The sequence below is a fragment of the Homo sapiens genome, chromosome 20 (assembly GCF_000001405.40).
Source record: "Homo sapiens chromosome 20, GRCh38.p14 Primary Assembly".
Lineage (NCBI taxonomy): Eukaryota > Metazoa > Chordata > Mammalia > Primates > Hominidae > Homo > Homo sapiens.
This window is the reverse complement of record NC_000020.11, coordinates 33631381-33642492: the sequence shown is the minus strand read 5'-3', so window position 1 is coordinate 33642492 and position 11112 is coordinate 33631381. Positions and strand designations below refer to the sequence as shown.

The 11112-nt window shown below is 44.1% G+C and overlaps 1 protein-coding gene across 3 annotated transcripts in view; it reads right to left on the bottom strand.

The window, feature by feature from the left end:
- The window catches only part of CBFA2T2 (CBFA2/RUNX1 partner transcriptional co-repressor 2), a 159935-nt gene that overhangs the window by 7538 nt on the left and 141285 nt on the right, over positions 1 to 11112 (bottom strand). For all 3 annotated transcript variants that reach the window (NM_001032999.3, NM_005093.4, NM_001039709.2), the window contains 2 exons: positions 5785 to 5853; positions 1962 to 2152 (listed from right to left, as the gene is read on the bottom strand). In NM_001032999.3, coding sequence (NP_001028171.1) covers positions 1962 to 2152; positions 5785 to 5853 — 260 coding nt within the window. The remainder of the gene's footprint in view (positions 1 to 1961; positions 2153 to 5784; positions 5854 to 11112) is intronic.

Sequence of the window (11112 nt, the reverse complement as noted above, 5' to 3'; positions counted from 1 at the left end):
CTGGACTACAGGTGCATGACACCATGCCTGGCTAATTTTTAAATTTTTTTTTTGGCAGAAATGGGGTCTCACCATCTAGCCAAGGCTGGTCTTGAACTCCTGAGCTCAAGTGTTCACACTACCTTGGCCTCCCAAAGTGCTGAGATTACAAGCATTGGCCACTGTGCCCAGCCTCAAAAACAATTCTAAAGAAAAAGGAGGAGGAGAAGCTGGGCGTGGTGGCTCATGCCTGTAATCCCAGCTCTTAGGGAGGCAGAAGCAAGAGTATATATAGCTTGAGCCCAGGAGTTCAAGACCTGCCTGGGCAATATAGTGAGACCCTGTTATCCACACACACACACACACACACACACACACACACACACACACACACACAAAAAAAAAAAAGACAAAGGAGGAGGAGAGAACGAAAAGGGAGGGGGATTAAAGAAACTATTTTCTCACAATCCATAGTATCTGTATTGAAGAGCTGTAATAAGGAATTTCACCACATCCTCTGTGATAGCCACGTGGTATTTAGGCATTTTCATCTGCACATTGCCATGTGTGACAGTACAATACTGAAATGGACCATTTAAATTACAAGAAAATAACATTTCTATTGTTTGTTAAAAAAAAAAAAAAAGCCCATCTGTAATCCCAGCACTTTGGGAGGCCAAGGTTGGGTGGATCACTTGAGGCTAGGAGTTCAAGATTAGCCTGGCCAACATGGCGAAAGCCCATCTCTATTAAAAATATGAAAATTAGCCAGGCACGGTGGTGTGCACCTGTACTCCAAGCTACTTGGGAGGCTGAGGTGGGAGAATCGCTTGAACCCGGAGGTAGAGGTTGCGGTGAGCCGAGACCGCACCATTGCACTCCAGCCTCGGTGACAGAGTGAGTGCTGAACTTCAAGAGAATGTCCCAAAGACAGCCGGTCTCCCATCCAGTAGATGAGATCTACCTACTTACAGAAAGAAACTGGTTTCTTGTTTTAAAGCTGAAAAATGACTAAAATGAAATTTACAGAAAAACTGCATTAAATTCAAAAGGGCTGTTCTCATGTTGTCACAGATTCTTTTTCAGTTTGTTGATTTTTCTCCTCACTGTAGTACTCAAGCGTCCTGTATAGAACCATCACCAAGTCCTGGGCCCTGGATCCTGGGTCCTGGACAATCAGGCAGATACACCCAACCTGTTACTTCAGTCCACAAACCAGCTATCCTATTTGTAAAAAGCCTAGGTGCTGGTCAGGAGATCGAGACCATCCTGGCTAACACGGTGAAACCCCGTCTCTACTAAAAATACAAAAAATTAGCCGGGTGTGGTGGCAGGCACCTGTAGTCCCAGCTGCTCGGGAGGCTGAGGCAGGAGAATGGCGTGAACCCAGGAGGTGGAGCTTGCAGTGAGCCAAGATTGCACCACTGCACTCCAGCCTGGGGGACAGAGAGAGACTCCGTCTCAAAAAAAAAAAGCCTAGGTGCTATAGGACCCTGCACTTTCTTACTCCTGTATCCTGACTTCAGCACCAAAGGGGTATATTAGTTGCATTCCCTGAGCCACAGTCTCCTCATCTGCAAATTAGGGCCATTGTGAGACTCAAAAAGAAAATATACAACTTTGCTGGGTGTCTGGCACACAGTAAGCCCACTCCGTCAATGCTGGTCATCATCATCATCGTGCAATCACACAAACTCTGTCTTTAGGGTGAATTCTCAAAATTTACACCAATACACTGAGCCTCTCTCTCTCTCTCTATATATATATGTATGTATGTAAAAATACAATGTAATAATTCACTATCTTGGCATGTAAAAGAGTCTTAGCATGAGAACCAAAACTCTCCTGGCACTGGATAAAAATTATCCTCATTGAGCTCAAGAGTGGACTGCCTGTGTCTTCCTGCCCAGCGTATGAGAGGAAGGCAGCGGGCGTGGTCACTCCAGCTGCTCACCCCAGCCCCCAGGGCGCAGAGCTCTGACCTCCGTGGACTCCTCTTGCTCATTGATGACGAGGAAAGCATCCTCTGCGGCCTGCCGCTTGACATCCGCTATGGTTTGCTCCATTCGTGCTCTCTCTGTTGCAATCACTTCAAAGGCTTTCTGCTCTGCCTCAGCGACGGCCTTCTGTACTTCTGACATGGCCTGAATTTTCACCTTATTCACAGCTTCTTCTAGAAGAAAGTGACAGTAAAATCAACTGGCCGAGAAATCTTTTCCCTCCCATCCCACGGCAATTCTAAGTAAGGAGAGAGCTGACACAAAGTGATCTTTTCTAAAACTCCACAGGGAGGAACACATGATCTTCACACTCATGTGTCCATCCATGCAGGTGCTGGCTGGGTACGGAGATGGAGGTGGGCACCGAGCTAGGGCTGTGGACGCAAGTGACTAGACACAGGCCACACTCTCCTGACTGCTTGTGACCAAGTATGAAAGTGTTTCAGGTGCCATCGTGTATGTCATCGTAAGAGACTAGAGTTCCAAGGAGAAAAGTGATCAGCTCTTCAGTGGGCAGGGGAGAATCAAGACATGTGTTTTGCTTGAGATGGTAGATGGAAATGAGATTTTGCAAAAAGTCTTGCATGCCAGACTAAGAAATTTGACCTTCTTTTTCTTTTTTTTTGAGACAGGGCCTTGCTCTGTTGCCCAGGCTGGAGTGCACTGTTGCGATCACAGCACACTGCGGACTTGACCTCTCTGAATCATGATCCTCCCACCTCAGCCTTCTGAGTAGCTAGGACTACAGGCGTGTCCCACCATACTCGGCTAATTTTTAAATTTTTTTGTAGAGACGATGTCTCACTATGTTGCTAAGGCTTGTCTCGAACTCCTGCGCTCAAGTGATCCTCCTACCTCAGCCTCCCAAAGCGTTGGTGTTAAAGTGTTATAGGGGTGAGGCACCACCCCCGGCTTGAACTTATTTTCTTTTTTTTTTTTTGCGACGGAGTCCCGCTCTGTTGCCCAGGCTGGAGTGCAGTGGCGTAATCTCTGCTCACTGCAAGCTCCGCCTCCCGGGTTCACGCCATTCTCCTGCCTCAGCCTCCTGAGTAGCTGGGACTACAGGTGCCCGCCACCACACCTGGCTAATTTTTTGTATTTTTAATAGAGACAGGGTTTCACCATGTTAGCCAGGATGGTCTCGATCTCTTGACCTCGTGATCCGCCCACCTTGGCCTCCCAAAGTGCTGGGATTACAGGCATGAGCCACCGTGCCCAGTCGGCTTGACTTTATTTTCAAAGGAAACTCCATAAAGGATTCTATGCAAGGGGAAGATTAAAGACAGAGATAGCAACCGGGAGGCTGGTGCAATGATTGAACTGATAGAAGAGGCTGAATTTAGGCAGGAATAAGTGGCACTGAGGAAGGGATGAGGCAGAAAAAGGTTGGGAGCACCGAAGGGCCTGGAAGTGGAGGTGAAAGAGAAGAATGCTAAAGCTAGGCAATGAAATGGACAGTCCACACAAAGCTAGTGTGGAGGCAAGTGAGAAGGTGGAGGTGCCTCTGGGGCATCCAGGTGTAAATGGCCAGGAGGCAATTAAATAAATAAGACTAGGTGCACAAACAAGGGCTAAAGACATAGATTTGGGCAGACTGCCAAAAGCCCTGGGTTTTTAAACCCTGTCCACTTACCATCATCCTACCTGGTTCCTGTTCACTTCCTCCCATCACCAATGCCCTGCTTGATTTCCCTAATGTAGACGCTGCAAAATAACACATTCCATATGTTTGAGCCTCAGCCCAATGAGAATGTGAATGTGAAGTCCCAAAATACGTAGCTCCCTACGTAAGTCCACAGGACTAGACAATCCAGAAGCCTAAGGACACTCCCTCACGGTTTACCTCTTGCACATGGCACAGGCTCAAGGGAGGTTCAAACACAGAGTTCTAGGCTACCATGAAACAACTTTCCATCTTATGGCTCTGGCCTTAAGAAAATCTTCACCCCAGAGGCCAAGAACTTTTCATAAGTCTCTTATCAGATGCCTCTTATTGAGCCAGTGTAACAATGCTCTTAGGTACATTTTATCCCCTCAGCTTAAGCATGAATTAATAATCATCTCGGTTTGGCTAGCTATCTTACTGGAGGTCGTCTAAGGTCACAGATGGCACTGTAGCAGAGCAAGGACTCAAACCTAGCTGGCCCAACACCAAAGTTGGGCTCTTAACCATAGTTAACCAAAGGTATCTCCCAAATAATCAAACTCACTAGTTTAAAAGAGATCTTGTGGCTGGGCACATTACAGGCTCATGCCTGTAATCCTAATCCTAGCACTTTGGGAGGCCAAGGCGGGTGGATCACCTGAAGTCAAGAGTTCGAAACCAGCCTGGCCAATATGGTGAAACCCCATCTCTACTAAAAATACAAAAATTAGCCGGGCATGGTCGGGGGTGCCTGTAATCCCAGGTACTTGGAAGGCTAAGGCAGAAGAGTTGCTTGAACCTGGGAGGTGGAGGTTGCAGTGAGCTGAGATTGTGCCACTGCACTCCAGCCTGAGCAACAGAGCAAGAATCCATCTCAAAAAAAAAAAAAAAAAAAAAAAAAAGGCCGGGTGCAGTGGCTCACGTCTGTAATCCCAGCACTTTGGGAGGCCAAGGCAGGCAGATCACCTGAGATCAGGAGTTCGAGACCAGCCTGACCAACATGGAGAAACCTCATCTCTACTACAAATACAAAATTAGCCAGGCGTGGTGGTGCATGCCTGTAATCCCAGCTACTTGGGAGGCTGAGGCAGGAGAATAGCTTGAACCGGGGAGGCGGAAGTTGCAGTGAGCCGAGATCACACCGTTGCACTCCAGCCTGGGCAACAAGCGCGAAACTCCATCTCAAAAAAAAAAAAAAGGAAAAGTGAGGAATGATTCCAAGAATCTGCAGGTACTCACTTAATTTCTTATATAAGCCTCTGATCAATTATTGAGTGTCATCAACAAGGTCTTTTAAAATTGTCAATAACGGACGGTTAAAGACAAGGGGTTAATTTATCAGATATGCTTTATCTTACATTATCCTGACTACTAGTAAGGAAAAATATTTTGCAATATGTTTATTTGTATTTCTCATAGCATAATGTGTCTGTTCATATCTTTTATTTGTTTACTACTGTCTAGATGCTCTTAAAAGAGTCTTTATGAATGTAGGTATTACATTTTTGTAGAAATAAATTTTATCTTAGTAAGAAAACCAAAAGTTGTATTGGACTTAAAAAATGAAACTGGGATGGGGAGGCAAGAAGTGAAAGAATGCCAATATTTGGATAAGGCTGACATTAGTGATGTGAGGTTCATCCTTGAACTTACAAAATAGGCAGTCCCCACCCTCCTTTATTCTTGTAAAAGAGGAGGCCTACCAAGAACAGTCTTCACTATGGTAGGCACAGAGAAGGTGAAAGAAAGCACAGGGGGATTACAGAGCTGTGCCCAGAGCAGAATTTGGGCACAAATGTGGCAGTAGTGTGAACACAGTATACTGTAGCCACCAGTGAAGAGATCAGGCAAAATGAACTCTGTTGCAAGCCCAGAAACAGGACATGTCAACAGGTACTTATTGCCTCAGCGTGACCCAGTGGAAGAGTGTGAAAGGGACTGGAGGGAGCTATTCCAAACTCCTGACCTGCAAATTAACAAGACAGGTATCAGGAGACATGCAGGACAAGCCAGAGCAGGAGAGGCAGGAGCCTAGAGCTCTATGAGGAGCAAGTTATTATACAACCAAAGGACCCAGTTACCAACCATTCACCCAGTTATCTGTTCTCTGCTCCCACAAATTAGTGAGTATGTATGACCTACAAGCAGTCAGACACATACCTGTTTTTTTCCAAAACTCCACAGGTACGTATCCTGTACCTGGCCTGCTGTTGAACTCTCTCTGAGAATCTGCAGAAGAGACATAAAAAGCATAGGGTCAGAAGCTGTCTATGATCAGCAGTTTTATTTTTGATCAGATTTCTCATTCACCACTTAGACTCAAACATATATTTCATTTAGTATAAAAAAATTCTCATATAAGGGCTAAAAACCAGATTATAAAATAGTACAGTAAATATTTAGTTTTAAAACACACACCCCCATCAAATGAACAAATTAACAGTATTTCAAAGTAGTGAGATTAAAAGTGATCTTCACTTTCTTCTTTTTACTTACCTATTATGTCCTAATTTTTTCCCCTATAAACATCGGTTTTTAAGGTACAGTACCCCCTAAAATATAAATGTATAAAACATAAATGCACACAGATTTTTTTTTTTTTTTTTTTTTGAGACGGAGTCTCACTCTGTCACCCAGGCTGGAGTGCAGTGGTGCGATCTTGGCTCACTGCAACCTCTGCCTCCCGGGTTCAAGTGATTCTCCTACCTCAGCCTCCCGAGAGGTAGCTGGGAGTACAGGTGTGCGCCACCCTGCCTGGCTATTCTTTTTGTATTTTTAGTAGAGATGGGGTTTCACCATGTTGGCCAGGGTGGTCTCTTTCAAAATTTCTACGTGTTTCGGAAATTTCAAAATAAAACATTAGGAAACATTATCTTTAAATATGTACATAGAAAATTCTACAAGAATACATTAATTGTTAACCATTGAGCCTATGGAAAAATGTAGGGGGAGGAAAGGCAGCATTTTTACAAATTACTTTTTTGTGTGTGACAGGGTCTTGTTCTGTCACCCAGGCTAGAGTGCAGTGATACACAGCTGATCACTGGCTCACTGCACCCTTGAACTCCTGGGCTCAGGTCATCCTGCCTCAGCCTCTTGAGTAGCTAGGACTTTAGGCATGTACCACCATGACCGCCTAATTTCCCTTCTAAATTTTTTGCACAGACAGGGTTTCACTATCTCAGGGTTTCCAGACAGGTCTTGGATTCCTGGCCTCAAGCAATTTTCCTGTCTCAGTCTCCCAAAGAGCTAGGATTACAGTTGTAAGCCATTGTGCCAGGCTGCTATGTAATTACTTCCAATTCAATCTCAAATTATCCTCCTGTTGTGTAAATCTTTTATAAATTTCATTTACTTAAGGAAATCTCTAGCAAGGTTCTGGGCTGTTCCAGCGTGGACTGGGCGCTTTCTAGGCCTGCTTTGCCACTAATGCTTGGGGCTCTCCTTCACCAGCCTAGGGATTCCTTTCCTTCCTTTCTTGTGTTGGATCCTCTTTCAGGAATTCAGTGTCTCCCATTTTCTGGTTTACTTTCACATATTGAGGCATATCCTACAGTAGATACTGTGGAGAAAGGGTAGGCAGGAGGTGCATTTTTTGAAAAATTGTAGGTTACTAATCTAACACTTAATTGTTTTGGTTAAGTATAGAATTCTAAATTAAAATAATTTTCCTTCAGAATTGTCTTCTAACTTTCAATGATGCTAAACGACTAAGTCTATTTATTTTCCTGTGTTGTCTACTTGGTAGACTGATTCAACCTGGAACTGTCTTGCAGGTCTTGGTAATTTTTTGGAATTATTTCAATAACTATTCTATCCTCTCTACTTGTTCTGCTCATTCTTTTTGAAATTCATGATTTGGATATATAAGTTGGGTAGATTTCTAATGTTGTTCTCTTTTTCTCACCAGAGATATTAACAATGCTACATTATTGGTAGTTTTCTTTTCCCTGAAGAGCTACTATTAATTCCCATTTCTGTTTATTTCAGTCTCCAATATTAGAGGCTTACCTCTAGAGAGTGGTCACCCTTAATTGTGCACACATGTCACTAAAAAGTTGCCTGGAAGCCCTGTGACACTGAATGAGGTCCATCTGCTATGGACTTAACTAGAGGCAGTTTTCCCAAACTTGCCTGCTTATTGAACTCATTAAACACATATATTCAGATTCTTTTTTTTTTTTTTTTTTTTTTTTTTGGACATAGGGTCTTGCTCTGTTGCCCAGGTGGAGTGCATTGGCACGAACTCAGCTCACTGCAAGTTCTGCCTCCTGGGCTCAAGCCATCCTCCTACCTCAGCTTCCCAAGTAGCCGGACTATAGGCACATACCACCACAATCAGCTAATTTTCATATTTTTTGTAGAGACAGGGTTTCACCATGTTGCCCAGGCTGGTCTTGAACTCCTGAGTTTAAGCGATTTGCCAGCCTCTGCCTCTCAAAGTGCTGGGATTACTGGCGTCAGCCACCACAGGTGGACTATATTCAGATTTTTGGGTCTCAGAATCATAACATCCAGAAGGGCCCGGAATGTGAGCTTGACTGTCATTCTGAGGAAAAACTGATAGCTGATTAAGTATTCTTTTTCTTTGTTTAAAAATTTGGCCAGATGCAGTGGCTCATGTGTGTAATCTCAGCACTTTGGGAGGCCAAGGCGGGTGGATCACGAGGTCAGGAGTTCGAGACCGACCTGACTAACATGGTGAAACCCCGTCTTTACTAAAAATACAAAAATTAGCTGTGCATGGTGGCAAGCACCTGTAATTCCAGCTACTTGGGAGGCTGAGGCAGGAGAATCACTTGAAGCCAAAAGGCGGAGGTTGCAGTGAGCCGAGACTGCACCACTGTACTCCAGCCTAGGTGACAGAGCGAGACTCCGTTTCAAACAAAAACAAACAAACAAACAAAAAAAAATTTTACTTGCAAAGTTAGATGGCTGACCAGTTCATAAAATATTAACATACAATATAATAAAAATATTAATATACAATTTAACATCATAAGCCTGAGTTCAGGAAACAGAACAGTACCAGCAACCCCAAATCCCTAAGAGGTAAGTCATGGCAAGCCATAGTAGTATTTAAATAATGCTAGCCAGACTGACAATCCTGTCCCAAGAATAGACGTAGTTAGAACTCACTAACTCTGCACCCTCCACCCACACAGCCAGAGGAAACCAGTCTCCTGATCTCTGTGATAAGCATTTTCTTCTTTTCCTTATGGTTTTTGCACTTATTTATGCATCCTTTAATGACACCTAAATACACTGCTTGCTGTCTGAACAAAATCTATTTGTGAAAACATTGTGAATCATAAATTTTCAGGTAAGGAAACCTACATTGCATTAATTTAAATGGGAAAAGTAATAATGCCATCTAAAGCCTCTAGTCAATTTCTCTCCAAATCACCAAACCACTTTACTTCAATAACTATCCACACCATGGATTTCTGCATAACCCAAGACTTTTATTTATTTATTTATTTATTTATTTTTTTTTTGCGACAGAGTCTCACTGTGTTGCTCAGGCTGGAGTGCAGTGTGTGATCTCGGCTTACCACAACCTCCGCCTCCCAGGTTTGAGTGATTCTCGTGCCTCAGCCTCCCAAGTAGGTGGGAGTACAGGCATGTGCTACCATGCCTGGCTAACTTTTTTTGTTTTTAGTAGAGACAGTGTTTTGACATGTTGGCCAGGCTGGTCTCGAACTCCTGGCTTCACGTGATCCACCTCGTTCAGCCTCCCAAAGTGCGGGGATTACAGGCGTGAGACACTGCACCCAGCTAACCCAAGACTTTAAAAACACTAATTACTTGGCCAGGCATGGTAGCTTATGTCTGTAATCCCAGCACTTTGGGAGGCCAAGGCGGGCAGATTACTTGAGGCTGGGAGTTCGAGACCAGCCTGGCAAACATGGTGAAACCTCATCTCTACTAAAAATACAAAAATTAGCTGGCTGTGGTAGGGCACACCTGTAATCTCAGCTACTTGGGAGGCTAAGGCAGGAGAACTGCTCGAACCTGGGGAGCAGTGAGGCAAGATCGTGCCACTGCATTCCAGCCTGGGTGACAGACAAGACTCCGTCTCAAACAAAAACACTAATTACTTATTTAAAAGTCACTGGTGAGGCCGGGCACGGTGGCTCATGCTTGTAATCCCAGCACTTCGGGAGGACGAGGCGGGTGGATCACAAGGTTAGGAATTGAAGACCAGCCGTCTCTACTGAAAAAAAAAAAACTCAGCCGGGTGTGGTGGCAGGCGCTTGTAATCCCAGCTACTCAGGAAGCTGAGGCAGGAGAATCCCTTGAATCCAGGACGCAGAGGTTGCAGTGAGCCGAGATCATGCCACTGCACTCCAGCCTGGGCAACAGAGCTAGACTCTGTTAAAAAAAAAAAAAAAAAGTCATTGGTGAAATTCTTTGAAATGTCTAAGAATACTGCCCAATATAGGACAATGCTACTCAAACTATGATTATTGGTATAACATATGCCAGAATGTAAAACAACTATGTGTCTAAGAACTCATTTCAGGCTGGGCATGGTGGCTTATGTCTGTAATCCCAGCACTTTGGGAGGCCAAGGTGGGTGGATCATACAAGGTCAGGAGTTCGAGCCCAGCCTGGCCAACATGGTGAAACCCCATCTCTACTAAAAATACAAAACGTAGCCAGGCATGGTGGCAGGTGCCTGTAATCCCAGCTACTCAGGAGGATGAGGCAAGAGAATGGCTTGAACCCAGGAGGTTGCAATGAGCCAAGAATGTGCACTGCATTCCAGCCTGGACAACAGAGCAAGACTCCATTTCAAAACAAACAAACAAAAACGAACAAACAAACAAACAAAAAGAACTAATTTCACAGTAAGACTTTCTTGATGAAGCCAACCGTGCCCAAGCTCCTCATGTAATCAGACCAGTGGCACTTTTTGGAGTCATTTTGGTTCACATTTTGCATAGTACATTTATTTAGGATATGAATTATACTGTCATACTATACTAAAATGGACAAGTAATAAACATGAGATAAACATATAAATGACACTAAAATATACTATCTAAATCAGGTTGATAGTGCTGTCAGAAACCAAACCTAGAATGACAATATAACTTATCATCCAGATTGCCTTCATTGTTGAGAATGAGGGAAATGCTAGTAATAACTATTAACAGGACACAGGTATAAACTGGACTGTCTCAGGCAAATCAGAAAACATGCTCCCCAGAGCTAATCCTTGATGCAAAAGGTGAGAAAGGTGAGTAGTGGTCATGCATAGCCATGTTTAAATGACTCCAGCAAGACCTGAATGACTCCAGCAAGAGCTGTATCTTGGCTCAGCAACCACTGGCTCACGACTGCAGCTCCCTCTGTACTCTATGCTTCTCACCTGCACACATGTGGACTCACTGATGAATGAGGTATGGCTTGGGTGTAAACTTTAGCTACGTCTCCAAAAGCCTTTCTCCCTGTCCGAAAGTCGCACAGGGATCTGCAAAT